This window comes from Homo sapiens, chromosome 3 (assembly GCF_000001405.40).
Source record: "Homo sapiens chromosome 3, GRCh38.p14 Primary Assembly".
Lineage (NCBI taxonomy): Eukaryota > Metazoa > Chordata > Mammalia > Primates > Hominidae > Homo > Homo sapiens.
This window is the reverse complement of record NC_000003.12, coordinates 196211408-196239134: the sequence shown is the minus strand read 5'-3', so window position 1 is coordinate 196239134 and position 27727 is coordinate 196211408. Positions and strand designations below refer to the sequence as shown.

The window sequence follows — 27727 nt, the reverse complement described above, 5'->3', positions numbered from 1 at the left end:
ATTGAGCAAGTGAGTCCTAGGTTAGATATCAGGAAGGATCTGTCTGTGAAGGTGTTTGGATAAATTAGAATAATCCTAGACTAGATTATTGAGGAAGAATGGGGAATTTCCCGGGTGATGACAGCAGGGGAGAACCCTTAAATAAATAGTACAGCATAGACTATCCCAGTCCTAGATGCTTCAGTGATGATTAAGTAGGATCCACGGTGTTTTTCTGACTCTTCCTTTCGGTTTCTGCAGAAACATATGCTGAAAGAGGGGAAGGGCCGGATGCTGCAGGCCATCAGCCCGAAGCAGAGCCCCAGCAGCAGCCCTACTCGCGAGCGCTCCCCCTCCCCCTCTTTCCGATGGCCCTTCTCCGGCAAGACTTCCCCACCTTGCTCCCCAGCAAATCTCTCCAGGCACAAGGCTGCAGCCTATGATATCAGTGAGGATGAAGAAGACTAATGTTTCCTCCCTCCTTTCCTGTCCTCCCTTTCTGTCCCATTACCTTCAGAAGCTCTCTGTTGAATTCCAAATTGTGACCCCAACACTAAACCTAAGGACAGCTACAAAGGAAAGACAACTGGGGAAAGAAGACCTAGGACTGGGGGAACCCAAACAGCCTGTCCTGCAAGTGACATCACTCACCCACACGAAGGAGGGGGACTGCACCTTAGAAGCCTGCTCTGCATCCATTTACCCCCCCCCAAGGGCTTTGTTTCACTGTTTATGTTCACGTGATCTCAACAGGGAAATTGTCATTTTCATTAATTTTTTAAAAAATTCGTCTTTCAAATGTAGAACTAATTTTTTGCCCCTGAGGAGTGGGCAGAAGAAGGAGGTAGTGTAATACGCAGAGGCCTTTTCTTCCCGGTATACTATAGCATTTGCCTTCCGTTCTGAAGCTATGTGGCTTGCCAAGTCCTTCACGAAATGAGCCACGCTGATGGGTAATTTGTGGAGAAATATCTTAATTTTGATTTCCTTAAGGAAAAGCGAAAAGCAGAGTTACAGTCACAAATCCCCTGAACGTACTGCTGTCACCAGTGTCATTGTGGCTGCGGGAAGGAGATCTGAACCTAACTTTTCTTACTCCCTGAGGAGTTTCTTGTTGGACCCAATGGGGTCCATGAAGACACTGATGGGGATGGAAGCAGACCCATGGCATCAACTGCAGTGTTTCTGCTGTGTTCATCTTCTCAGAAAACTCTGTGACCCAGTTCTTTGGGAGCTTTTGTCAGTCTCTTTCGTGCCATCTACCTTCGAAGGAAGGAACACTTTTAGAGTTACAATGATGAGGAGAGGAGCGGGACAATACTCAATCCTATACCAAGTCGATTGAGATTAGTTTCCTACTGGGAGTAAGTGCCTGGCCCTGCTACTCCTATTTGAATGCTATTAATATTACCTAGCCTTTTACAAAGGATACTTTGTAAATGTCTGCTGTTGGAACTTGATGTTAATCCATTTTGGTCATAGCCATATTAGAGAGATTTGCACAGAATGTAAAGGCAAAAGCATAGGAAACACCTTCCTTTCTAAAGCAACAGCCTTATCACCTTGACCTCTGTCCCTCTTCAGAACATTCTTCCCTGGAACCAGTGCTCCACATCTTTCTTTTCCTCTGAGAGCTGCAGCTGGCAGGGACCTCCCTCTGCTGCTCCTCCAGCAAGCCACAGAGCATACCCTCACGTGACAAGAGTGTGGTAGGTTTTCTCCCCACTTTTCACACACGCCTGGTGGTTGTGGTTCCATCTGCCTTGTTGGCTTGCCCGGGGGGATTCAACACTTGACTTTCAAATCAAAGAATGCTAATGCTTAGCACTTGCTGTTGAGCATGCTCTAACTTTTAAAGCCCTGGCCTCCTGTCTCCTTAGCTGCTTAGCTACGCGGCCTAGCAGATCATCACCCATCAGTAATCCTGTGGCTAGATCCAGGGGAAAATTGCTTATGTCCAGGCCCCACCCCTGTCACTCATAAATACCCCTTGTGGGGGTGGAATTTTAGTGTTTTCAGCTAAGAAAACCACATTTTCTCTTTCCTTGCCTCTGCTAGGACTGTGAGCATCTCATAGTCCACTCCCTAAACACTTTCTGGTAACACCTAGTTTTCCGCCTGAGGGTCAGAGGCTAGAATCATTGCCTGCACAGCAGGACTACCTTGGTTCTTAAAACTTGGATCACCCAGGCAAGGCGTGGTGGCTCACGCCTGTCATCTCAGCACTTTGGGAGACTGAGGCTGGTGGATCACTTGAGGCCACGAGTTTGAGACCAGCCTGACCAACGTGGTGAAACCCCATCTCTACTAAAAATACAAAAATTAGCCAGGCGTGGTGGTGGGCACCTGTAATCCCAGCTACTTGGGAGGCTGAGGCAGGAGAATCCCTTGAACCCAGGAGGCGGAGGTTGCAGTGAGCAGAGATGGTGCCGCTGCAGTCCAGCCTGGGTGACAGAGCGAGACTCTGTCTCCAAAACAAAACAAAAACCACACACACATACAGAAATAAAGAGAAATAATCAACTAGAAAAAAAACAAAACTTGGATCACCCAGAAAGAGCGTCACAGAGGCGAGGGAGAATGAAGCCTCTTGTTATCCTGATCGCCTATGACAACGACATTTCTAACTCTTCTTTGAAGCGCAGTTCTTACTCTTAAATCTGGTCATACAAGCTTTGGCTTGGAATCCTGTCTGTCTTTGAAACAGCTGAAGTTAGTGTTTTCCTGTGTTACCCAGTGTTACATAGTCTCATCTTTGAACTTTTCTGCGTCAGCCTTCTCTCTTTGGGAATGCTGCCTGTTTCTGTCTAACTTATTCTCCCTGGTGTGGTGTGGCAGTGAAGTCTGTGCTGAAGCCCATCTGCTTGGTTCCTCCAAGTGCACATTATGCAAGTGTATTTGGATAGACAGGGAGATGCCCGGAACGTGGTTTTCCTCCTCCCTCCCTATTGGAGCCATACCTCCTAAATATATTGTCTGGGTCCCAAATGTTTGAGCCCTCTTCCTCTGCTCTCAGTGGGCTGCTCTTGGCATGCCCTGTGCTTGGAACGGGACCTGCAGGCTGACAGGCCTCTGAGACTGCTAGGGCCAGCAAACGTACATGTTATTGGGAAACTCCCTTTCCCCTTTTGGTGAGCTTCTACCACCTCAGTCTAATCGTTTTGACTGAAAGCTATTTGTCTGACTGAAAGCTAAAATCTTTTATAGTGTGGCCTGTTAGATACTTTGGGGTAAATGTGGTCTGAGGTGCTGGACTAGCACGGGTAGATGGAGAAAGCTGTTGGGAAGTTGCATAATGTGGTCATCTGTGCCTAATTAAATGAGGTTAGAGGTGTGCACACCACCACAATGCCTGGGATCTAAATCTTCAGATATTAACGTTTGAGGCTATGGAGCTGTTTCCCTGAATCACACACGAGAAAGCAGTCAACATGGGTGGGCCAAATGTGGCCAAGATGAGAGAGCCAGAAGTGTTGGCCTTAGAGCAGAGCCTCTGTGTGTGAGACATTAGAAGGCCAGAGCCGGGGAGGTGCCGGCGCAGCCACTGCCTTCCGGTGGGCCGGACGGAAAGCTTGGTCTTATGCTAGATTCAGAAGCACTGAAGAATGGAGGTTGACACTTTAGAGGACTAGGAAGGGATCATTTGTGCTCTTGCAGCTATTGCTGATAGCTAGAGCCAAAGACCATTATATTGCTGAGGCTTGGGTAAGAAAGTTAGGGATGTGAGGAGGTTGAAAATCCTGAAGAAGAGAAAAAATATGAGGGAGGCTAAGGAAACTTAGCCACTTTCTGATCACTGATGACTCCTTAGGCTGCACCTGAGTGATGGTGGTGTTTTTGGAGGCTGTACCTGAGTGATGGTGGTTTTTGGGGGGCTGCACCTGAGCGATAGTGATTTTTTTTTGGAGGCTGCACAGCTGGTCAGACCATCTCTAGATGTTCTTTCCACAGTGGTTCATAGGGCGTCATTCCCCCTTCCTGGATTATTTTGACTATGGGTAGCTTATTTTCAAGAGCTCTTTGCCTTTTTAATCCTGTTCCAGATCACTTATCCAAAATCTTTCCAAATCAATTATATTTTGCTGCTTTTCTTTAATTCCCTAAAAGCCATAGCTTCTAGATTTTCTATCAGCACACATTCTCACCAGAAGTTGAACCAATACAGGTAGAAAAAGAAAGCCCCCTTAATGTTTTTAACTGATGATATTTTTTTAAGCTTACCAATATAAGTATTTTTAAAGGTTCTATTTTTCAAAGTCATAACAATGATTGTTCTTGTTTTCTCTCATAGAATAGACTGCCATCGGATAAAGAGTGGTCCCTAGCTTCTATTTTTCCAAGTAAATAAGTAGAACATGTTCTTGGGATTATACCATTAAATGTTAATTTTCTTGAAGAAGAAAGATTGTTGTCTGCCAAGATTTTATGTTAGCGCTCGGATTGAGGCAGAAAACGGAAGCACCAGGTTTAACACTGGGATGACTTGGGTTGTGTTCCTGGAGGTTTGAAGTGGGCCTTCCCGCCTTTTGAGGGGGAAAACTGACTGTTTTGAACACATATCCTGGATTAGTTGGGTTGTTTTGTATTGAGGATCCCTAAAAGACAAAAGAGTCTTGGAAAGGACTGCTGGCTTCGTCTTGAACGTTCGCCCCATCACCAGTGTGAGTCCGTGGGGAAGTCTTCCTCAAGTGGGGTTCAGTCTGTAATTTTCCTGTCTGTTCTTAGTTTGTTCTGAGTTATTTTGGATTTTGTTCTTTAGCCAAATAAAGGCAGTGTGGTTTTACCTGATGTTCCATGTCCAGTGGTGTTTTTATTTTTTATTTTTATTTTTTTTGAGACGGAGTTTTGCTCTTCTTGCCCAGGCTGGAGTGCAGTGGCGCAATCTCGGCTCACTGCAGCCTCCGCCTCCCAGGTTCAAGCGATTCTCCTGCTTCAGCCTGCCAAGTAGCTGGGATTACAGGCATGCGCCACCACGCCTGGCTAATTAGTGTTTTTAGTAGAGATGGGGTTTCTCCATGTTGAGCAGGCTGGTCTCGAATTCCTGACCTCAGGTGAGCCACCTGCCTCGGCCTCCCAAAGTGCTGGGATTACAGGCGTGAGCCCCCGCGCCCGGCCGTGTCCTGTGTTTTGACCTGTGTGGTGCATTTTATGGATTTGGGACTTTTACTTGGACTCTCGGTGCCTTTGCTTCCACGTGCTGACTCTCTCCTTAGAAATCAAGCTCCATGACCACAGTGTCAGGAGATTCCTTTTCTAGCTTGTCACTGAAGACTCAAAAGCCATTGTCCCACAAAGTGAGGCTGACCCAGACCACCAGGGCCCCGCGTGGTTGGTGCCGTAGTAGCACACCTGTCAGGGAAAGGTCACCTTCCATCTGTTCTCCAGGGCCCCTGGCTTCTTCAAGACTCTGGGCTGGTGCTATTTCACCTCACCAAGTTCTCCTTTTCTTATGCCAGACACAATACTATATACTCTTCTTTTCATCTGCTTTAGGAAAGCTCAGTAAGCTTTCTTTTTTTTCCAGAGGCAGGGTCTGGCTGTATCACCCAGGCTGGAGTGTATGGCACAACCATTGCTCACTGCAGCCTCAACCTCCTGGGCTCAAGTGATCCTCCCGCCTCAGGCTCCCAAAGTGCTGGGATAGCAGGCATGAGCTGTCGCACCTAGCCAGCAATATACAACCTTGAAGGGTTAATAGTGACATGGACAGAGGCAAGGTGCCCAGTTACACATTTTCAGACATCATCTTGTTTATTACAAAACTTAAAACACCTTCCAGGCAAGATCCAAAGCAATTTTATTCTAACATTGTTCACCTTCATCTGTAGAGTCAAATGTATCTGCCAGCTTGTGTTGACAAGGGGGAATGCTTCCCATTTGGTCAAGGTTGAGGGACAGTAAAGGAATCTTGTATTCTAATGAGTACAGCATCCTTTCATTGTCCAAGCCATCCACCTTAGGCTTTGAGGTTCAAGTCCAGGTCTGGAGAAGAGAAAGTTTCATACCCAACCTTGTGGTCTTTCCTTCGGTAGTACATTCGTGTCAGCACAGTCATTAGAAAAGTCTCCAGTATGAGGAGGTGGCAATTCATCACTGCAGTGTAGGGTGAAATACAGCGTAGGTTATGCTGAGTTACAGAGGTGGTATTTTACTAGCAGCCCGGGCACGGGAGTTGAGCAACACTTTCTCCAGTTTATCCCCAAATCAGGACTTAGGGATACGAAATTGTCATAAATAACACAGCGGGTTAATGGTAGAGCCAGAACCGGAAGTTGGCTGTCTACTTCTGTGCTCTGAGGCTGGCATACAGTCCATTTCTTATGTGTGTTCAATCAACATGGGCTTCTGTTTTTTAACCATTCCCATTCCTCTCCCAGGAGCTGAGGACTGAACCCATGGCTTCCTGGGTTGGCCCTCAGGGCTGGCCTCAAGCTGTGGGGTTTCACTTCTCTTCTGTGTGATCAGAGAGGTCATAGTTTCCTTAAAGCCTCTGTTGGGATTTCCCGAAGATCCCTTCTGAACACTCTGAGCAGAAGTCAGGCTGGCCTAATGTCTGTTCTGGGGCCCCTTCTTTCCTGACTCTCCCCGTCTCATCCATCCCACGATGGGACAGGAGGCTTAACGTGCTCACCTTGAGACCTGGTTTTAGAGGAATAGGGAGGCGAACAAGCAATCTGCCCACCGTTGGCCAAGACTGAGAAGATGGAGGGCTGTAGGGCAGTCAGGATGAGGAGAACCTGCGGAACATAAAAGAGAGGCAAGGGTGGACTGGGCCTGCCCTCACGGCACAGAACGCAGCCAGCCCACTGCCGGGCCTTGCCCTTCCGCTGGGCAGGTTCCACCCACCGTCAGATCTGTGCAGTCACAGAGGGTTGAGGCTCTCACTTCATTAAAAATCTGTGGGATTTTCATCTTTAGGCAAATGACATTCTTATTTTCTACCCAGTAGTTTATTAGAGTTTCTGACAAGATATAAGAACTGATTAAAGGGTTCATTTTTAATTCCCTTTCTCAGCCATGGCTACCAATGAGCACTCAATGGATAAAGAGATGGGTGATTAGAGAAGAGTCATTCCATCTAGCTCAAGTGCCTGAGGTCCCTGCTCCTAGAATAATGGACAATTAACCATTAAAATGCCCTTTGGAAGCTCTGCCATCCCAGAGACTGCAGGGAGAGGGCAATGGGGAATGTGTTTAATGGGTGCCTGGAGATGGACGGTGGTAATGGTAGTGCAACTATGGGAATGTACTTAATGCCACAGAACCTGACACTTCAAAATCATTAATGGCAAATTTTATCAATATTTCACCAAATAAAGAAGGCAAAAGGGGAGAAGAAGAAGATCACTGTCCAGAAGCCCTGGAAGCACCATTTATCTTAGTATTGCCCTCCCTGAGTACATTGTGTGGAAACCTCAGCTTCTTCAAGGCTGGCGTGGCTCACCCAGGCTCCCCCACATTAACCATGGGCAGGCTCGGCCATCACACGGCTTTTATCTTTCGGCCTGGTCTCAAGTACTTCTGGGACCCAGAACCTTTCTGCCCCTTCAGTCCCTGACTCATTCCGGGGACTTCTCTCTCTATTCCCATAGCCCCTTTCATTCTACCTCCTATGTGCCTGGAAGTTCACATTTGGGAGGCATGTACGTAGATCAAATGAGAATGTACGTGAACTCACTCTGTTAAACTGTAGGGCAGTCATTATGCCTTGGGAGTAGAAGACCAGCAAGGAGACAGGATGGAGAGAGAAGGAGAACAAGACTGGGTTAGAAGTCATTGCATTTGGTGGAAAAGTCATCTTTGAGGTTAGAGAAGGCAGCACGTAGAAGGTGGGCCAACATGCCTTTGAGAGAATTTTCAGAAGCGTTGTGAAGATGAAGGGCAGGGTAAGGAGAAGACAGATGTGTGGAGGAGTCAAGACATACCTGGGTATAAATTCTAGCCCCGTTCCTTATGTGCCTTTGAGCAAGAACATCTCTGGGTCTGTTTCTTCCTTTGTAAAATGGGAAAAATGACTCCTGGGGTTGTGAAAATTGAAGTGTAATGTGTGAAAGTGCCCGGCACATGGTGTAGGTAGGTCCTGTAGCTAATGCTAATGCTTCTGCTGGTGTTGATGGGTTATAGGATTTTAGGAAGTCATAGGTAGAAAAGGAAAGGAAGAAGCAAGGAGACAAATGTAAGGTTTGTTAACTAACACACGTGTTACAGGTTAAATTGTGTCCCCAAAAAGCTATGTTGAAGTCCTGCCCCCCGGTACTCGTGACCTTATTTAAGAACAGTTTGTTACAAATGTAATTAGTTAAGATGAGGTCATAATGGAATAGGGTGGGCCCTTAATCCAATTTGACTGGTGTCCTAAAAATAGATGAGATGGAGGGGCACAGTGGCTCACGCCTATAATCCCAATACTTTGGGAGGCTGAGGCGGGTGGATCACCTGAGGTCAGGAGTTTGAGACCAGCCTGGCCAACATAGCGAAACCCCGTCTCTACTAAAAATGCAAAATTAGCCGGGCGTGGTGGTACATGCCTGTAATCCCAGCTACTTGGGAGGCTGAGGCAAGAGAATTGCTTAACCTGAGATGGCACCACTGCACTCCAGCCTGGGCAACAGACCAAGACTCTGTCTCAAAAAAAAAAAAAAAAATAGAAGACACACAGAAACACAAGGGGAGAATATAACGAGATAATGGAGGCAGAAATGGGAGTGACGCAAATGCTGGTCAAGGATGGTCCAGGACTGCTGGCAACTAGGAAACTAGGGAGAGGCTGGGACCCCCTGCAGGGCTCAAAGGGAGCAGGGCCCTGCTGGCTCCTTCGCTGTGGACTTCTAGCCTCCAGCACAATGAGACAAGACATGTCTGTTGTTTTAAGCCATCTGATTTGTGGTATTTTGTCATGGCAGCCCTGGGAAACAATTCCAGCACAGAAAGACAAAAGCGGGAAGCACAGGAATCATTTTCCAAATCTCATGAGAGACGTGAGGCTTATGAAAAAGATTCCCGGCCCACTTTAGCCTTTATTGGCCTCACTTACTAACCCCAACTATCTGTAGCTCGGTTATGAAACATCTTTTCTCTCCCAGGGTATAGTTACCTGGAACAGAGCAAATTTGGCTCCCATGTTCTGCTCACCCAGGTGTAGCCTGGCTTGACGGGAAATGATGCCCAGGGTCCAGAGAGCCAGCAGTGTGGACACGCCAAGGAAAGTGTTGATCCATAGAGCTGTGCTCCCCTCAGAAATCTGGTGGCAACAGAAAGTAGTCAGTGAGGCAGGCAAGCTCTCTCTCTCTCTCTCTCTCTTTCAAGAGATGGTGTCACTCTGTCACCCAGCTGAAAGTGCAGAGGTGCAATGATAGCTCACTGCAGCATCACACTCCTGGCTCCAGTGATCCCCTCGCCTCAGGCTTCTGAGTAGCTGGGACTACAGGTGCACACCACCATTCCCAGCTAACTTTTTTTTTTTTTTAATAATAGAGATGGGCCAGGCGTGGTGGCTCACGCCTATAATCCCAGCACTTTGGGAGGCAGAGGCGGGCGGATCACCTGAGGTCAGGTGTTCAAGACCAGCCTGACCAACATGGAGAAACCCCATCTCTATGAAAAATACAAAATTAGCCGGGGGTGGTGGTGCATGCCTGTAATCCCAGCTACTCAGGAGGCTGAGGTAGGAGAATCACTTAAACCCGGGAGGCGGAGGTTGCAGTGAGCCGAGATGCGCTACTGCACTCCAGCCTGGGCGACAAAAGAGAAACTCCGTCTCAAAAAAAAAAAAAAAAAGAGATGGTATCTCACTATGTTGCCCAAGCTGGTCGCAAACTCCTGGCTTCAAGTGATCCTCCCACCTCAGCCTCCCAAAGTGCTGGGATTACAGGTGTGAGCCACCATGTCCAGCCTAATTTTAAAAACATTTTTAGAAATGGCATCTCGCTATATTGTCCAGGCTGGTCTTGAACTCCCACTCTTGAGCAATCCTCCCACCTCGGCCTCGTGAGCCATGCATCATGGCACCTGGTGCTTCCTTTGAGCTCTCCTCTCCCACGGCAGGAACGGTAATGAAAAAGCCCGGGGGCCTGGCCTATTGCGGTTCTCTCCCTGGCAGTCCCTGAGCCTCTGTTTTCCCACAGCCACCCTTTTCTGGGGCCCTCTGTCAAGGGGTGTTGGCTCTGGTGATTCCTTTTAGAACACAAAGGTACTAAATGAGTCTTGGACTGTGCTGTCCCTTACTCCCGGCTTACGTCTGCTGGGTCATAGATGCCGTCGGGGACGAGAAACAGGCCCACCAGGGTCAGCGTTATCTTCAAGAAGGCGTATTGGAAAGGGCCCAACATCAGCAGCTGAAGCTTCTTCCTGAGTGGGGAAGAGGGTTAGGAACATGGGCCCACAAACCCCCTGCCCCAGGAAGACGCCCCGGCTCCTCACAGGGCTCCTGGGCTGAGGCTCGGCTGCTGTCATAAACACCAACCAGGTTAAGTGGATGGGGACAGAGGAAAAAAGCAGAATGTTGAGAGTGCTGGGAACCCTCTTGGTCTCCCACTCACCTCCAGACAAGAATTCCGTCTTTGGAGCGAGGTCTGGGAGTGTGACCTCAACCTCATTCACCAAAGTGGGCAGAAGGGGCAAGCGAATGGCCCCAAGTCCAGTTTTCTCTGTGTGGCTAAGGCTTGCAGGGTGCAGTGAAGTTCAGTGATGACAATTGAGGAGCTCTCCTTCCTCTGCTCCCCTGTCCCCTGAGGGTGGCGCCCGTGGGTCCTGGCCGTGGGATGCCCACCCTTCCGTCACTGGCTTTGGCCTATTCACGCCTAATTCCCAGAGCCTTGAAGGGGACCAGGGGTCCAGGAGAGGCTCCCCGGCTCCTGGGGAAGGCACCTTGGCCCCGCCTCACCTGGTGAGCAGCAGCCGTGGACAGCAGGGGCAGCAGCAGCAGCAGGGGCCTGTGTGGACCATCATCGGGGTGTCCCTCAGCGTCCTCAGCACTGCCTCCTTCCCCCCAAAGCCTTCCACCATGACCAGCATCAGCAGGTAAAAGCACACGGCATAAAACCTGGGGTGGGGAGAGAAGAGGGCCTACGAGGTCTGCTGCCAGAGAGAAAGACAGCAGGGAGAGGTGGGGCTTACTGAGGAGCAGAGCTAGGGCTGGGCGTTCTGGGTGTGTGACCCAAGAGGGGCGAGGGAGAGGAGACGGCCCACAGGACTGGGAGAAGGGGAATTTCAGACTGTGGGAACAGAGGGCTGGCTGAGGAATGTGCCAGATGCCAAAATGAGGCATTCCCTGAGCAGAGCCAGGAGCGCAAGAGCCCGGAACTAGCACAAGCTGGGAAGGGCCAGATACATGGTCAGCTGGGATCAAGGACACGGACTCGAGTCCTGGTGAGCGGGAGCAGAGGGGCCCTTGGAGGTGGGGCGAGGCAGGGCACTCACGAGGTGATGGTCATTTCCACCAGCACCAGGGAACGAGGGATCCAGAGACCAAAGCAGCACAGCACAGACACCACCTGCTCAGAAGGGGCAGGAGCAGGTGAGGGCGGGAGGGAGACCCTGAGGCTCCGGAAGCCTTTTGCGGCAAGGACACAGGAGGCAAAACCTACACATTCGAGGCAGCGTTCCTTAAACGTTGCCAGCTGGAAAAAGCACTAATTAAGTCAAGCAAACCAAGGACCTGTGGGAGGGTGTTTCAAAAGCCTCAGCGTAAGGGTGGAGCTGAGTGTGACCCTGTGGAATGAGACTTTCCCCCACACTCTGAGGAACCACTGAAGGAAGCTCTTCAAGTGGCAACACTGTAGCGGGGAGCAAGGATGAGGCGGCTGGTGGGCTGAGCAGATCTCCAGCTGTCTCCGCAGCCCTTAGAATGCAAACACTGCACAGCCTTCCAAGCAGAGGATCCTAACTGCAAGGGGAGGTCGGCCTGCAAACCTCGGCCCTCCGCGGGTCGTGGCAGGACACTCTTTGCCGAAGTGACGTGCTGAGTTTAGAGGAATTCTCACCTTGGTCTCTGCCTTCTTTTCAGTTCCCCCCACAGGGCAGCCCCGGGGGCCTCACCGTGGGTGCCGAGCTCTTCCAGAGCAGAGTCCGCCTCTTGATGGGGCAAAGGGTGTTCTTGTACAGGTAGACGGCATCCTCCAGGAAGATGGCAATGGAGCCCAGCGCCAGCAAGGTCAGGATGCTAGTGAGGGCAAGTTCCACAGGGCCCAGGGCTAGAGGAGGAGAAGGCAGAGAGCTGACGACCGGGACTGAGCGGGAGAAGGCCTGGGCTTGTTCCTCGGATCGAAATTGCCTTACTGGATCTAGGCTCCCACCCGTGCACAGGAATGAGGATTTTTTAGACCTAGAGTATTCAACCTAAGAAATAGTCTTTTTTTTTTCTTTTTCTTTTTTTTTTTTTTTTAAGACGGAGCCTCACTCTGTTGCCCAGGCTGGAGTGCAGTGGTGTGAACTTGGGTCACTGCAACCTCCATCTCCTGGGTTTAAGTGATTCTCCTGCCTCAGCCTCCCAAGTAGCTGGGATTACAGACACCCACCACTATGCCCGGCTAATTTTTATATTTTTAGTAGAGATAGTTTTCTCCATGTTGGCCAGGATGGTCTCGAACTCCTCACCTCAAGTGATCCACTCGCCTTGGCCCTGCAAAGTGCTGGGATTATAGGCCTCAGCCCCCGTGCCCAACCCCACTTCACTTTTCTATCTCCAGTGCCAGGTGCTGCACTAGCGAATGTAGATCAATTAACATAATTGAAGCCGAATATAATTTATGGGACATTCTGGATCTGTTTAAGTTGATTTCACCAAAATTATATGGTGAAACCAGGACATTAGCAGAGAACTTTTTTGTGGGGAGGAGGACAGGTTCTCACTCTGTCGCCCAGGCTGGAGGGCAGTGGTGTGATCATGGCTCACTGCAACCTTGACCTTCCGGGTTCAAACCATCCTCCAACCTCAGCCTCCCAAGTAGCCTGGGACTACAGGTGTGCACCCCCACCACGGCCGGCTAATTTTTAACATTTTCTGTAGAGACGGGGTCTCACTACGTTGCCCAGACTGGTCTCAAACTCCTAGGCTTAAGCAGTCCTTCCACCCTGGTCTCCCAAAGTGCTGGGATTACAGACGTGAGCCACCACACTCGGCCAGGGGAGAACTTCAACAAAAGAGAAACGGATCAAATAAAAACCCCAAGGACACCTGACGCACGCTGGCCTCATGCTTGGTCTTACATGAACTATAGTCCAAGGTTTTCAAACTTTCGTGGATATTGCAGTCATTTTGGGAGTTGTTAAAAAGCAGCTAGCTGCCCAGGCCCTACGTTCAGACATGTGCGTCCATAGATCTGAGATGGGCCCAGTCATCTGCATTTTTAACAAGCTCACCTGATAGTGGTCGGAGGATAGCAGACACTTTGACAAATACTGGTAGACCTCATCTGGCCTCACCGTTGCTAACAGAAAAAAATGAATATAGTCACAATATGTGTTTCCGAACAAACGTGATTCATTAATGCAGCCGTTAGTTTTAAAGAAAGGGTTCTAGGTCCTTAGTGAACCTGTGGTCATTTATCTAAGTGTCTTTTCTAGTTATTGGACCCTCCTTTGCACCTGCTACCTGACTAGATAAGAGGAAGAAAGGGAGAAAACTGCCACACTCCAGTCATTGTCCTGTTGCCTTGCGGGGTGAGCACGAGGAAGGGATTAGCTAGTCTGCTCTGTGTTTTGGTGACTAAGGAACATGAGGGCAGCTCAGTGGGAGCAATATGACTGCTGAAACCAAAACAGGGAGAAAGGTGGCCACGGTACAGACTTGAGCTGGAGCTCTTGTCTCGGTCAGTCGCACCTGGTGGCACCACAGGACCAACCAGGACTATGGGTGAATTTGTCAAAAAATACGCTGACCCTCGGCTGGGCACGGTGGCTCACACTGGTAGTCCCAGCACTTTGGGAAGCTGAGGTGGGCGGATCACTTGAGGCCAGGAGTCCAAGACCAGCCTGGCCAACATAGTGAAACCCCACCTCTACTAAAAATACAGAAATTAGCCGGGTGTGGTGGCGCCTGCCTGTGGTCCCAGCTACTCCGGGAGAGGTGAAGGCTGTAGTGAGCCAGGATCACACCGCTGCACTCCAGCCTGGGTGAAAAAAAAAAAAAAAGGAAAATACCTATAATACTGAAAAAAGTTAGCAATGCTTATGTTTGGGTGATGGGACTATGGATGATTTGTGTCTTCTTTTCTACTTACTTTTTTCTATCTTTTCTGAGTAGTCACTTTTTTAAAAATTAAACAACTTAAATTTATTTTCTCATAGTTTTGGAGGCTAGTTCAAGATCAAGGTGTCAGCAGGTTTGATTTCTCCTGAGGCCTCTCTCCTCCACTTGCAGACAACTCTCCTCTCCTCCCCTCCCCTCCCCTCCCCTCTCCCATTCCCTCCCCTCTCCCCTCTCCTCCCCTCTCCTCCCCTCCCATCTCCTCCCCCCCCCGCCCCGCCCCCTTCTCTTCTTTCAACGAAGTTTCACTCTTGTCGCACAGGCTGGAGTGCACTGGTCTGATCTTAGCTTACTGCAGCCTCCACCTCCCAGGTTTAAGTGATTCTCCTGCCTCAGCCTCCCAAGTAGCTGGGATTACAGGCACCTGCCACCACGCCCAGCTAGTAGAGACGGTTTTCGCCATGTTGGCCAGGCTGGTCTTGAACTGACCTCAACTGACCCGCCCACCTCGGCCTCCCAAAGTGCTGGGATTACAGGCGTGAGCCACCGGGTCCAGCCGACAACCGCGTTTCTACTGTGTCCCCACATGGCCTTTTCTCGGTGTGTGAAAATCCCTAGTGTCTTTCTTTTCCAATTATTCTATAATGAATATGTATTTATAACAAAAATAAACCTTTTTTTAGAAAAGAACATATTTTTCCAAATATACAATGATGTGAAAAATTTATTTTGTATCATGCTTACAAAAACAGAACATAAAATTTTAGGAATAGTATGATTTCTACAAATGTTAAATAAAAACATAGAGAAAGGGCTAGGCACAGTGGCTCATGCCTGTAATCCCAGCACTTTGGGAGGCCGAGGCGGGTGGATCACTTGAGGTCAGGAATTTGAGACCAGCCTGGCCAACATGGTGGAACCCCATCTCTACCAAAAATACAAAAATTAGCCAGGCATGGTGGCGAGTACCTGTAATCCCACCTACTGGAGAGGCTGAGGCAGGAGAATTGCTTGAACTGGGAGGTGGAGGTTGCATTGAGCTGAGATCACACCACTGCACTCCAGCCTGGGCCACAGAGCCAGACTCTGTCTGAAAAAAAAAAAAAAAAAAAAGGCATTAAAAAAAAGGAAATTACACTAAGATATTTGCCGTGCCTGTCTCTGGGTGGGACTGTAGATGATTTTTTTCTCTTTTTACTGTTCTGTATTTTCTTTCTTTCTTTTTTTTTTTTTAACTAAACCTGAATGATTTTTATAATAGAAATGTTTAATTAAAAAAACTCAGACAATAGGCAAAGTCCAGATAGGAAAAAGCCAACATTAATGCAGGTGGTTTTCCAAAACCAATGTTCTGTGGTTGGGAAGCGGGGGCCATTGCTAGAGCCTCTCTTACCCCCAGCCCCGTGTGCTCATCAGCCCTTGGAGAGCGTAAAAACTGCCCTTTCACACGCCACCAACCCAGTCCTTCCCAGTCTTCATTTCCCTAACTGCTCCCTGCTCCGTGAAAATCTCCATTCCGGGTAACGTTATGTCCTCCTTCCGCCCACATCAGGGCTATTTGTATTTACACAGCTGTTTACTCGCTTATTCTCGGCTCTCCACCTTGTGGTGCACACTCCACGGAGGCAGGGACCTTGTCAAGCTTGTGCTCTGTTCTCAAACGCCCGGAGGAGTAACGGCTCTGTAACTATTTGTTGAATGAAAGAAATAACCTATGAGAATTCCTATCATCATCTGCATTTCATAGACTTTTTCAGGAAACGAGGCTCAGAGAAGGAAGCACATCTCCCAGGGTCACACAGCCTGGAAGTGAAGGAGCAGAGATTTAAACGCAGGTATTCGTGACTAAGCCCACACTCTTATTAACCATGACACACAGTGACTCCAGGTGTGTGTACTCGTGGATATGGGAGAGATCATCAAAGGCAACCCTGGGAGGGCCGTTCCATTTATGAAGGTGAGGGTGGGGCAGATTCTGACTGTTCAACACAAATGGTTTTGCAGTGTCTTCTAACTGTTGCCTTTGGTACTCTAATTAGGAAAGGAAAAGTTCCTTAGCATCCATAGCCCGATACTGGGTCTGTCCATCAAACTATCTTCTTAGGAGATGGCCTCTTCTTTGCTGGTTAAACTCAATTTCCCCAAAAGGGCATCTAAATAGACACTATGGGACAAAAGTATTCCACAGCTGAAGAATTTTTGGAAATGCATTAAGGTTAAATGTGATGATTCCTGCAGAGCATACTGACATTTTTAATCTGCTAATTTACATTGTAAATTTCCAAAAGGAGGGTCTAGAACGCACCTTTTACAAAACTTAACTTTTTTTTTTTTTTTGAGATGGAGCCTTACTCTGTCGCCAGGCTGGGGTGCAGTGGCGCGATCTCGGCTTACTGCAAGCTCCGCCTCGTGGATCCAAGCAATTCTTCTGCCTCCGCCTCCCAGGTAGCTGGGATTACAGGTACCCACCACCATGCCCAGCTAATTTTTGTATTTTAAGTAGAGATAGGGTTTCACCATGTTGGGCAGGCTGGTCTCAAACTCCTGACCTCAAGTGATCCACCCGCCTCGGCCTCCCAAAGTGCTGGGATTACAGGTGTGAGCCACCGTGCCTGGTCACAAAACTTAACTTCCTACAGAACTCTGTTTCCATGAAGGACTCCTTGGGATTAAGAGTCTGAGACTTTGGGAAATGCTTGTCTAGTTGACCATTTTGAATATAATCATACTTATAGCAACTATTAAATTTCCCACTGTCTCTGGAATAGCAAAGACTACTTTTTAAAATAATGAAAACAGGAACATTAAATAAGAATTTGAAAAAAGAGTAATCACCCATAATCCCAGCTTTCTAACCAAAAATTATTTCCATGCTTGCATATTTGCTTCCAGTAGCTTAGGAGCACAGTGTAGAGCACTGGAGTCAGACACTTGAGTTCAAAGCAAAATGCCAGGCCGGGCGGGGGGGCTCACGCCTGTCATCCCAGCACATTGGGAGGCCGAGGCGGGCGGATCACGAGGTCAGGAGATCGAGACCATCCTGACTAACACGGTGAAACCCCGTCTCTACTAAAAAATATACAAAAAATTAGCCGGGTGTGGTGGCGGGCGCCTGTAGTCCCAGCTACTCGGGAGGCTGAGGCAGGAGAATGGCGTGAACCTGGGAGGCGGAGCTTGTAGTGAGCTGAGATCACACCACTGCACTCCAGCCTGGGGGACAGAGCGAGACTCTGTCTCTTAAAAAAAAAAAACAAAAAACCAAACCAAACAAACAAACAAACAAAAACAAAGTAAAATGCCACTTACTAATAGCTCTATGGCCATAGACAGGTTACTTATCCTCTCCTTAAGCTTCTTAGCAAAGCACCTGGCGTGTAGTATTTGTTCAATAAAAAGTAGCTTTAAGGCCGGGCGCAGTGATTCACGCCTGTAATCCCAGCCCTTCAGGAGGCCGAGGCAGGAGGATCGCTTGAGCTGGAGCGTTTGAGATCAGCCTGGGCAACGAAGTCAGACTCTGTCTCTACAAAAATTGAAAGTTAGCCCAGGCATGGTGGTGTGTGCCTGCAGTCCCAGCTACTCGAGAGGATGAGGTGGGAGGATCACTTGAGCCCAGAGCTCGAGCTGCCGTGAGCCGTGATTTTAAAATTAAAAAAAAAAAATTGATTCAATCATTCTTCTAGAATAATAGCTTTTTTTTCTCTCTCTCTTTTTTTTAAATTGAGACAGGGTTTCGGTCTGTTGCCCAGGCTGAGGCTGGTGGTGCAATCATAGCTCACTGCAACCTCGACCTCCTGGGGTTGCAGCATGGGCCACCGTGACTGGCCTGAAATAGTTTTCTTAGCATTTAATTTTAAGTTCGAGACCAGCCTGGGCAACATGGAGAAACTCCACCTCTACAAAAAAATACAAAAATTAGCTGGGCTTGGTGGCATGTGCCTGTGGTCCCCAGCTACTAGGGAGGCTGAGGTGGGAGGATCACCTGAGCCCAGCAGGTGGAGGGTTGGGGTAAGCCGAGATCGCACCACTGCACTCCAGCCTGAGTGACACAGTGAGACCCTGTCTCAAAAAAAAAAAAAAAAAGAAAAATTAAGGAACAACAAAGTTTACAAATGAAGCGAGGAAGGAGTTTCGCCACAGCCTCCCAGAGGCACTTCTTCCTGCTTCTCCTATTTCTGGCTGTGCCGTCACCATTGCCCAGAACCAGCACTTACACGCCTAGGTCTTTCCTAGATTGCCTGCTCTTTCTTTGAACTGCCTGTTTCCCAACCCTTCCTCTTCTTTCCCTGCCACTGCCCTGCCTCAGACTCTTTTCCCGCATGGCAGGCCGGGGCAACGACCTCTCATTTACATCCCTGCCTATTTTTTGCTGTTGTTGAGACGGAGTCTTGTTCTGTCACCCAGGCTGGAGTGCAATGGTGAGATCTCGGCTCACTGCAACCTCTGCCTCCCGGGTTCAAGCGATTCTCCTGCCTCAGCCTCCTGAGTAGCTGGGATTACAGGCACGCGCCACCACACCTGGCTAATTTTTGTATTTTCAGTAGAGACAGGATTTCACCACATTGGCCAGGCTGATCTTGAACTCTTGACCGCAGATGATCCGCCTGCCTCGGCCTCCCAAAGTGCTGGGATTACAGGCATGAGCCACGGTGTCCGGCCGCATCCCTGCTTCTTAAGCCTCTTCCTCTGCAGTCCATCCTGATTACTAACGAATGGCCGAGAAGCACGACTTTCATCCAGCCACTCCCAGCCTCAGAGCCTTCACGAGCTCCTTCTCGCTGCGGGATAAAGCACAGCTCCTCCGCCAGCCCGGCGCGCAGCGGGCCTCACCTCTCCTGCCCGGCCCTCTCAATTGTCCCCTGCTCTTCCACCAGGATCCTTGAATCCTGCCAGACCTCGCTCCCCTGGGCCTGGGGCGTCCCCGAACTCATCCTCGCAGCTTCCCTGTCCCAGGAGGGCCCGCTGGCCAAATCCTCCCCACTCTGCCTGCGGCGAGGCTTGCTGGACTAGCAGACTCAGAATGGCCTGTTCTGAACAGCCTTGGGGTTTCCGTTTGCACATTCTGAAGCAAAGCAATGTGAGAACCGTTTTCATTGCGTGAGGCAAGGTTTCTCAACCTGAGCACTATTGACACTTTGGCCTGAATAATCTTTTCTGTGGGGGCTCTTCCCGTGCCCTGTAGGAAGTTTAGCAGCTTTCCTGGCCTCTGACCACGAGATGCCAGTAGCACCTTCCAGTGTGGCAACCGGAAGTCTCCCGACACTGCCAAATATTCCCTGGGGGGACAGCTGCTGTGTAAGGGAAGGCTTGTACCACCAGCTGCACTCTCTCAACAGGAGGTTCACTGGAACTAGATGTAGCAGCCACCTACTGCCACTAACCACAGAGTGGCCACCAGGCATCTCCGGACACTGGCAGTTGGCAACCGCTCTGGTTCAGATCATCTGAAATGAAGCCCTACACAGCCCAAGGACACGCCCACGTCTGCAACAGAACGCACACTGAGAGCTTCCTGTTGCCTGGGAAACGTGTTAAATGTGCTACAGAGACACAGACTTGTATCCAACATTTCAGAGGTAGTCAGTATGCAGCAGGAAAACAAAATAAAACGCAGGCGTGAGTCACATTTTCTCTAAGCATGCTCGGGCCGTGATTCTCAATGTTTTTGGTGTCCGGGGAATAAGCTGAGCCCCATCCTATGCCTTTCACTTTCTTTTTCTTTTCCTTTTTTTTCTTTTATTTTTGAGACGGAGTCTCACTCACTCTGTTGCCCAGGCTGCAGTGCAGTGGCGTGATCTCGGCTCACTGCAACCTCCGCCTCCCGAGTTCAAGCAACTCTCCTGCCTCAGCCTCCCGAGTAGCTGGGATTACAGGTGCCCGCCACCACGCCTGGCTAATTTTTGTATTTTCAGTAGAGACGGGGTTTCACCATGTTGGCCAGGCTGGTCTCCAACTTCTGGCTTCAAGTGATCCACCTGCCTCGGCCTCCCAAAGTGCAGGGATTACAGGCGTGAGCCACCGCTCCCAGCCAATGCCTTTCACTTTCAAAAGTAATTCAGTAATAGAATCTTGTTGGCCAACACTGCGAGGACTTTTGCAGGTTCACCTATGTTTTTTTTTTTTTAATTACTGTTTTATTTGGAAAAAGTGCTTCTTGCAAAAGGGAAGCTGCAAAACAGAGACCTCTGCAACAATTACTTGTTTTTTCTTAAAGTGAAAGAATGGGTGGGATCCAAGGAATCAAAGCAGTAGATGGACGACCAGGAGCACCCCAAGTTATCTTCAGGAAACAGAGCGACAAAACGCAAAGGTAAAATTTCCAGTCAAGGAATTCTTCCAACAGCTGAACTTGAGCTGGCCTCGGGGATCCCCACACCCTCCCCTTCAGTGGACAATTATGACTTATTATTGCAAACAAATTACTCCACTACAATAAACACTGTAGAACAGGTTTTTGAATCCCATCTGTCCACCTGAGAGCTCAGGGGTGGAATGAGGCAAATACCCACAAACACACACACAAAAACCCGACAACAGAATGCTCCAGTGAGGACAAAGGTTTTTCAGAAAGGCTGGATCGTAAAACAAATACAACTGGTTCACCTGTGTGAAGCACGTCACTCACCGTAACCACCCTCTAGAGTGACATGGGTCCAGGGCGGATGCCGTGCAGCCCTCCAGGAGACCCGATGGGGCTTGGACCACTTGGGCACCATCTTGGGTCCCCAGATGGCTCTGGGGTCTGAAAAAGCGCCCCAGGTCGCAGTGTCCGCAGTTTGAATGAGCTTTGAGGCCAGTTTTGTGGAGGCCCAACATGACGGTTGCTCTCCGGAGCCAGGCTCTCATGCTACCCTTTTGACCCACTGACTCCTTGAGGCATTGCCCTTCTCCAGAGCCTTAACCACGATGACAGACACCGGGCCAGTTATTCTCCCCGGCTGCCCAGGTGCACCAGCTCAGGGCCGCCTCTCCCCAGCTCCACTCAGCTATCCTGGTTTCCCTCCTCTCAGTTCCCTCTGAGGAGGGTCCCCACTCACCTCTCAGGAGTTGGGCTGCTGTGGGAGGCTGAGAGAAGCAGGCGGAGGGGATGCCGTAATTGGTCTTCAGCACCTCCAGAAGATCTGCTGTGTACCTGGCGAGACACCAGCCTGTGCTCAGAACCATGGGGGCTGGGGGAAGGGGGAGGGTTGCACACTGGACCCTCAACCACTCCTGAGTGCAGGACTTTGTCCATTTCCCCTCAGGGCCTCTTTCTCTCTCTTTCTTTCTTTCCTTCCTTCCTTCCTTTCACTCTCTCTTTCTCTTTCTCTCTCCCTTCCCCTTCCCCTTCTCCTTCCTTCCTTCCTTCTGCTCTCTCTTTCTCTTTCTCTCTTCCTTCCCCTTCTCTTTCCTTCCTTCCTTCCTTCCTTTTTCTTTCTTTTTTTTTCTTTTTGAGACAGGGTCTTGCTCTGTTGTCCAGGCTGGAGTGCAGTGGTCTGTCTTGGCTCATACAGGCAGCCTTGACCTCCTGGGCTCAAGTGATCTACTCAACCCCCATCCCCATGAGTAAGCTGGGACTACAGGTGCACGCCACCAGGCCCGGCTAATTTTTTATATTTTTGGTAGAGACAGGATTTCGCCATGTTGCTCAGACACTGGTCTCGAACTCCAGGACTCAAACTGGAACTGGGCTTAAACTCCTGGACTCCCGCCTCAGCCTCCCAAAGTGCTGGGATTACAGGCGCCCGGCCTCAGGGCCCTTTTCTTAGAGGGAGTGGAGAACTGGCCCAGGTGGGGGAGTAAGACAAGCTGCCACCTAGCCAGGCTGTGCCTGGCTGCCGTGCCTGAAGAGCCCACCGTGGATTCTCTCCATGCGGGTCGGGCAGCAGCCCAGGGACTGACCAGAGAGGAAGAGCAGGATCCCAGAGGAAGGGTGAGTCCTTACAGACGGACGGGCCCCCTGCTGCTGAGGGATGCTGCCATTTCCTCTGCGAATGCCTTCCACAGCCCCCGCTCTGCGACCTTTCTCTCCCCACGCTGGGGGGCAAGGCCGAGGCCCTGGAGTGTCACACCCTGGCCCAAACCCACGTTGTCCCTGAGGACCTAGGAACAGCTAGAGCATTTCCAGTCCTGTCTCATTCTGAGTGCGGCCGCCAAAGGGCTCTGGGAGGGAGAGAGGACAGGCCGCGGGATAGGGGCCACCGCTGCCCAGCGACTGGCCCAGGGCCCGCCGCCCTCACTTACCTGGGGTCAAGCTTTATCTGGGTCCTGCCCGGCTCCATCGCCGCGTTCTCTCCAGCAATCCCGCAGGCACCGGGGTGAGGAAGGGCAGGCGGGGCGGGCAGGTGGGGGCCGGGGGCAGGGTGGCTTGCCTGGGCCGGGGTGGGGGGCAAGCAGAATTGCAGAGTCTTCCCCTCTGCCGCTCTCCCTCCTTGAGCTTCCCGGGCCAACTTTCTATCTCAGAGTTCACCCCGGAGGAATTTGATCCTCTAGGCTGGCGGAGTTCCCTGTGCCTGACTCGTCCCTGCCCCCAGGTGTGGTCCCTCCCACCTCTTGGACAGGTGCCTTTGGCCACCCCTTGCCTCTGGCCCGGCCCATCCTATAGGATTTTGCTGCCAGTCTGCCCTGCCCTTCCAGGAGCCTTCTGGGGTGGGGTGGGCTCACCACGAAGCCCCTGCCCTGGGCCGGGGTGGGGACGAAGTCCTCGCTCCTCACCGCAGTGTTCCCTGGTCAGCGGCCCCTGAAGAACCTGCTGGAACTCAGGCTTGGGCACTCTGCAGCGGGGAGACTCAGGGCTGAGGCCTCGGCCGTGTTTGGTGCTGTCAGCCTGATGTGTGGAAGGGAGGACAGGCTGGAAAAGCCAGATGAGGCCGGTGTGGGTTTCCCAGACCCCAGTTCATCACATCTGGATGATGGGCTTAGCCACCCCCACGCTGGGCCGGAAGATGCTGTATTTAAGAGGCAGAGTTGCAGAGTGAGATTGCTGGGCATTTGACAGGTCTTGAAAACCTGCTGAATTACAGGCTTGCAAACGATTTTATTGGCTGATAGCTTCCCTTTTCTCTCTCTCCACATAGACTGAAATCTCTTCGAAGCCAGACACAGCATCTTGTACTGTGGTACGGTGGTACCTCTAGGTTCCTGGCACGCAGCCTGACACATACGAAGGGCCCCTTAGAATTTGGTTGCATAGCTGATGAAAGCAGCCAGCGTCTGTCAGCATGTCTGGTGTGCCAGGGCCCGCAGGACATGCAGTGTGTTCCTTAGCTTATTTAAACTTTACCACCGCGTTACAAGGGAAGTAGTATCCTTATTCCCATTTTACAGATAAGGAGGCTGAGGTCCAGAGAGGCTAAGAAACCAGGTCAGACAGAAAGCTGTGGGGTGTGGAGAGCGGCCAAAGGGGCCTGGGGGAGGGGCTCTGTTGGGGCATGGTGGAGATGGAGGTAGTGAGAAGAGGGCCCAGGAGAGGGTGCAGAGGGTCAATTCTGGGAAGGGAGAGGGGGCTTCCTGCGCTGGGCTGGTGAGGCCATACAAGCAGTGGAAGCAGTCCCTGATGGGGTACCCGGAGGACTCCCCACTCCTGTGCCCAGACACCTCAAAGTCTCTCCCAAGAGTCAAGCTGCATCCCCCTCCAGCTTCCCCTCCTCCTAAAGTCCAGTTCCTGGGACAGGACAATGTCGTGAGGCAGGCGTCTCAGGGGCCAGCTGCCTCCTAAGGTGGAGGTCAGGGAAGGAAGAGGCCTGCAAGGGCCCTGACCCCCAGAGGGTCACTGGCCTCAGCCCACCCTGACAAAGACGCAGACTGACTCAGCTTCCTCCCAGCATCTCCGCAGGCACGTTCGCCAGGTCATTCACCCCCAGCCCACTGAGAGGCCTTGGGTTTAATTACCCAAAGCCCTGAACTTTAGACTTCCCAGAGCTGACAACAGGGCGCTGGGGATGTTCTTAGAAACTTCAGGACACAGTGGGGAATGGCAGGAAAGGTGAAAGGGCAGGAGGGAGCCGGGGGGGGCTGCGGTTGGGCTGAGACGGGTGCTTCCCCACTGGGCAGCAGAGACTGGGAGACCCCAGGAGAGACCGGCAGGGTGTCAGTGAGGGAAGGGGGCTTCTGCCCCACCCAAGGTCTCTACGGGGTTGTCTTCTGTACAGTGTGGCCCGGGATCCAGCCAGCGGGAGGCCCTGCCTGGAGGCCGGCCCATCCCCAGCTAAGGCTTGGTCAGAGAGGATGAGCTGTGGCCGCCAGGGTCTCCTCTTGGCAGTTGGGGCCTGCCAGCTCTCAGAAACTGATTTTAGAACCAAAAAGAATAAGTCCTTCTGAATTTCATTTCTTTGGCCTATTTTTTCCCACAAAATTATATGATAGCATCATCTGACACTTATTGAGACAGAGGAGGGATGGGACTCGGCTGCCAACTCCACTAATGCATTCGCTAATGCATTCCCCCCCCCAACATTTTTCTTTCTTCCTTTTTTTTTCTTACCTGCTCATTGAAGGACAGTGAAAGCATTAAGATAAGCAGCATTCCACTGTAAATCTTACACAAAATGCCACATCCACTGATCACACGACCTTGAAAAATGAAGATAGGCAGCGTCGCACTTCCAATCTTGTACTTCAGGGAATGAACTCCATTGCCTTTGTGTGCAGGAAGCCGGAAGCACGACCACTCTTTACCCTCGGCCTCATTACAAGACCAAGACCTCTGCCTCGGCGCGGCAGCTCTCACCTGGAATCCCAGCACTTTGGGAGGCCGAAGCGGACGGATCACCTGAGGTGTCAGGAGTTTGAGACCAGCCTGGCCAACAAGGTGAAACCCCGTCTCTACTAAAAATACAAAAATTAGCCAGGTGTGGTGGTGTAATCCCAGCTACTCGGGAGGCTGAGGCACGAGAATCGCTTGAACCTGGGAGGCGGAGGTTGCAGGGAGCCGAGATCTTGTCACTGCACTCCAGACTGGGTGACAGACAGAAACAAAACAAAAGCCTCTGCCAGGGAGAGGCTTTCTCGTCGTGTTCTGATCCTGCGATGTATGTGTTACCGCGATTCCTAACTATCCCTGTGCGTTCTGTCACTCCTGCAGGGACGCTCACCTACCTCATGAATTACGCGTGTCGCCCTCCTCGAGACGCCACAACGCAGTCCCCTGGGGAGCCAGCCGGAGACCTCTCCCTGCGGTGCTGTCTCCCCCGTGGTGGAACGGAAGCCCCTAATAAAGCCTTGTCTGGGAAATTTGCTTGGCCTCGTGTCAATTTTTATCGGAGCCTAAAGAACCTGTGGTCAGTAACACGATCATTTCAGTTATCACTTAAGTTTTGGCTTCCTTAATATGAGAGTCAGTTTTGAAAAATCAAAAAAGAGGCTGGGCGCCGTGGCTCACACCTGTAATCCCAGCACTTTGTGAGGCCGAGGCAGGTGGCTCACTTGAGGTCAGGAATTCGAGACCAGCCTGACCAACATGGTGAAACCCCATCTCTTAAAAATACAAAAATTAGGCCGAGTGCAGTGGCTCACTCCTGTAATGCCCGTACTTTGGGAGGCTGAGGTGGGTGGATCACCTGAGGTCAGGAGTTCGAGACCAGGCTGGCCAACATGGTGAAACTCCGTCTCTACTAAAACTACAAAAAAAAAATTAGCTGGGCATGGTGGCAGGTGCCTATAATCCTAGCTACTTGGGAGGCTGAGGCAAGAGAATTGCTTGAACCCGGGAGGCAGAGATTGCAGTGAGCTGAGATGGTGCCATTGCACTCCAGCCCGGGCGACAGAGTGAGACTCAGTCTCAAAACAACAACAACAAACCTCATCTCTTCCAGTCCCCCTCCTCCCACACCCTGGCAACTGTGAATCTGCTTTTGATCTCTATGGATTTGGCTACTCTGGATATTTCATGTAAGTGGAACCATACAATATGTGGCTTTTTGTGCCTAGTTTCTTCCATTTTGCATAATCTTTTCTTTTCTTTTATTCTGTGTTTTTGAGACATAGTTTCACTCTTGTTTCCCAGGCTGGAGTGCAATGGTGAGATCTCGGCTCACTGCAACCTCCGCCTCCCAGGTTCAAGCGATTCTCGTGCCTCAGGCTCCCGAGTAGCTGGGATTACAGGTGCGCACCACCACACCTGGCTAATTTTTGTATTTTTAGTAGAGATGTTGCAGGAAACTGAGGACTGGCAAGACTGAGACAGAGAACGAGAGGACTGTTTATTTCAGGTACGCACTGGCTTAGTGGACTGTCATCTAAAAAGCTGAGCATCGAACAAAGACAGAGCGGGGTTTTTATAAGCAGACTTCCAATAAATAAAAGTAGTTAATCATATGACAGGTCACATCATCTATAGCATAACTTGTGGCCTTGCATAGCTGGTGACTTTGTAGCTGCATTGAAAGAAAAACAAGAACTGGCTAAATACAGACATTTGTAAAACATAATCATGCTTAAGAAACCTGGGAAAGGAGTAACAGTCAAAGAATTTGTCTTTCTTTTTTTTCTTCAACTTTGCTCTGGAGGCGAGGGGTGTCTGGAGCTTATTCTTTTGGCCTTGGCCTCTTAAACAGCGTTATCTTATAACTGTCCTTGAAGTGAGCTTGCTGGGCAGAGGAAAACTTGTTCTTTTCTTTTTAACTTTTGCCTTGCTTGTTACTTGTCTTGGAGTGAATGAATGCATATTTATTTTTAAATTTCTGCCTCAGTTTCTTCTTTTTGAGGCCTTTTATAAAGGAAGTTTAATATGGCTCATGCTTGTAATCCCAGCACTTTAGGAGGCTGAGGTGGGTGGATCACCTGTGGTCAGGAGTTCGAGACCAGCCTGGCCAACATGACTAAACCCCGTCTCTACTACAAAATACAAAATGAGCCGGGCATGGTGATGCATGCCTGTAATCCCAGCTACTTGGGAGGCTGAGGCAGGAGAACCGCTTGAACCCAGGAGGCAGAGGTTGCAGTGAGCCGAGATTGCGCCATTACACTCCAGCCTGGGCAACAAGAGCGAAACTATCTCAAAAACAAACAAACAAACAAAACAAACCAACAAAAAAACCCAGCAACTTTCTTTCTTTTTTTTTTTTTTTTTTTGAGATGGAGTTTACTCTGCCACCCAGGTTGGAGTGCAATGGCGCGATCTTGGCTCGCTGCAACGTCCACCTTCCAGGTTCAAGTGATTCTCCTGCCTCAGCCTTCTGAGTAGCTGGGACTACAGGCGTGCACCACCACTCCTGGCTAGTTTTGTATGTTTAGTGGAGATGGGGTTTCACCATGTTGGCCAGGCTGGTCTCGAACTCCTGACCTCGAGTGATCTGCCTGCCTCGGTCTCCCACAGTGCTGGGATTACAGGGATTACAGCGCCGGCTGAAAATTACCAACTTTCTTCCCATGTGTTTCTCCAGGTCATATTTTCTCCAACAACATCAGCCTCTCAGGGGCAGGAACTCCCGGTTCCCCAGCACATGTCGGGGTGGGGGTGGGGTTTGCTGTTGGAAGTGCCTGTCACCGGAGGCAGCTAGAGCAGGGCTGCAGACAGTTCTGCTGAGGTCCCCCAGCCTCTGTGATGTCACACTGGGCCTTCTTTCCTTTCACCCTGGGCTGCGGCTC

The 27727-nt window shown here is 50.3% G+C and overlaps 2 protein-coding genes and 2 long non-coding RNA genes across 12 annotated transcripts in view, besides 6 other annotated features; 2 read left to right on the top strand and 2 right to left on the bottom strand.

The window, feature by feature from the left end:
* PCYT1A (phosphate cytidylyltransferase 1A, choline) overlaps window positions 1–4767 on the top strand; it is a 53359-nt gene extending 48592 nt beyond the window's left edge. For both annotated transcript variants that reach the window (NM_001312673.2, NM_005017.4), the window contains one exon: window positions 241–4767. In NM_001312673.2, coding sequence (NP_001299602.1) covers window positions 241–447 — 207 coding nt within the window. In that variant the 3' untranslated portion in view covers window positions 448–4767. The remainder of the gene's footprint in view (window positions 1–240) is intronic.
* On the bottom strand, window positions 5708–22601 carry SLC51A (solute carrier family 51 member A). 2 transcript variants are annotated; one of them, NM_152672.6, is made up of 9 exons: window positions 22385–22601; window positions 21199–21293; window positions 12016–12170; window positions 11398–11471; window positions 10862–11020; window positions 10215–10326; window positions 9074–9220; window positions 6611–6716; window positions 5708–6072 (listed from the first exon to the last, which is right to left on the bottom strand). In NM_152672.6, exons 1-9 carry the CDS (start codon window positions 22420–22422, stop codon window positions 5936–5938), a joined length of 1023 nt encoding a protein of 340 aa, NP_689885.4. In that variant the 5' UTR covers window positions 22423–22601; the 3' UTR covers window positions 5708–5935. The 2 variants fall into 2 exon arrangements, with proteins under 2 accessions (NP_689885.4, XP_047303618.1); XM_047447662.1 differs by lacking the exons at window positions 21199–21293; window positions 22385–22601 and adding an exon at window positions 13339–13406.
* Window positions 6104–6393: an enhancer, noted in NCBI's record as "active region_21082". NCBI's record gives its function as "activates an Ori minimal core promoter by ATAC-STARR-seq in GM12878 lymphoblastoid cells {active_cell/tissue: GM12878}" and the evidence as "EXISTENCE:reporter gene assay evidence [ECO:0000049][PMID:35858748]".
* Window positions 6514–6583: an enhancer, noted in NCBI's record as "active region_21081". NCBI's record gives its function as "activates an Ori minimal core promoter by ATAC-STARR-seq in GM12878 lymphoblastoid cells {active_cell/tissue: GM12878}" and the evidence as "EXISTENCE:reporter gene assay evidence [ECO:0000049][PMID:35858748]".
* LOC105374304 (uncharacterized) lies at window positions 18744–25372 on the top strand. Of its 7 annotated transcripts, XR_001740542.2 has the most exons (5): window positions 18744–19777; window positions 20376–20471; window positions 23218–24125; window positions 24637–24950; window positions 25224–25372. It is a non-coding gene; the product is annotated as an uncharacterized LOC105374304 (long non-coding RNA). The 7 variants fall into 7 exon arrangements; XR_001740544.2 differs by lacking the exon at window positions 23218–24125 and having other exon boundaries at window positions 24791–24950; XR_001740546.2 differs by lacking the exons at window positions 18744–19777; window positions 20376–20471 and adding an exon at window positions 21823–22073 and having other exon boundaries at window positions 23218–23259.
* Window positions 19490–19669: an enhancer, noted in NCBI's record as "active region_21080". NCBI's record gives its function as "activates an Ori minimal core promoter by ATAC-STARR-seq in GM12878 lymphoblastoid cells {active_cell/tissue: GM12878}" and the evidence as "EXISTENCE:reporter gene assay evidence [ECO:0000049][PMID:35858748]".
* Window positions 19490–19899: a biological region, named in NCBI's record as "Sharpr-MPRA regulatory region 7098".
* Window positions 19543–19837: a silencer, noted in NCBI's record as "tiled region #7098; HepG2 Repressive non-DNase unmatched - State 8:EnhW". NCBI's record gives its function as "represses a minimal TATA promoter and a strong SV40 promoter by Sharpr-MPRA in HepG2 cells {active_cell/tissue: HepG2}" and the evidence as "EXISTENCE:reporter gene assay evidence [ECO:0000049][PMID:27701403]".
* Window positions 19750–19899: an enhancer, noted in NCBI's record as "active region_21079". NCBI's record gives its function as "activates an Ori minimal core promoter by ATAC-STARR-seq in GM12878 lymphoblastoid cells {active_cell/tissue: GM12878}" and the evidence as "EXISTENCE:reporter gene assay evidence [ECO:0000049][PMID:35858748]".
* Window positions 24493–27720, bottom strand: LOC124909479 (uncharacterized). The gene is made up of 4 exons (XR_007096240.1): window positions 27496–27720; window positions 26358–26514; window positions 25238–25414; window positions 24493–24712 (listed from the first exon to the last, which is right to left on the bottom strand). It is a non-coding gene; the product is annotated as an uncharacterized LOC124909479 (long non-coding RNA).
* Window positions 27721–27727: the final 7 nt, after the last annotated feature.

Excerpts from the sequence above, each read along its gene's own strand:
- SLC51A (NM_152672.6), bottom strand. The coding sequence starts at position 22,422 with ATGGAGCCGGGCAGGACCCAGATAAAGCTTGACCCCAG. Across the intron at positions 12,171-21,198 it reads AGCAGCCCAACTCCTGAGAG|CCCTGGGCCCTGTGGAACTT; the intron begins GTGAGTGGGGAC and ends CTCCTCCTCTAG. Across the intron at positions 11,472-12,015 it reads GGAAGAGCTCGGCACCCACG|GTGGTGTCTGTGCTGTGCTG; the intron begins GTGAGGCCCCCG and ends CCTTCTGAGCAG.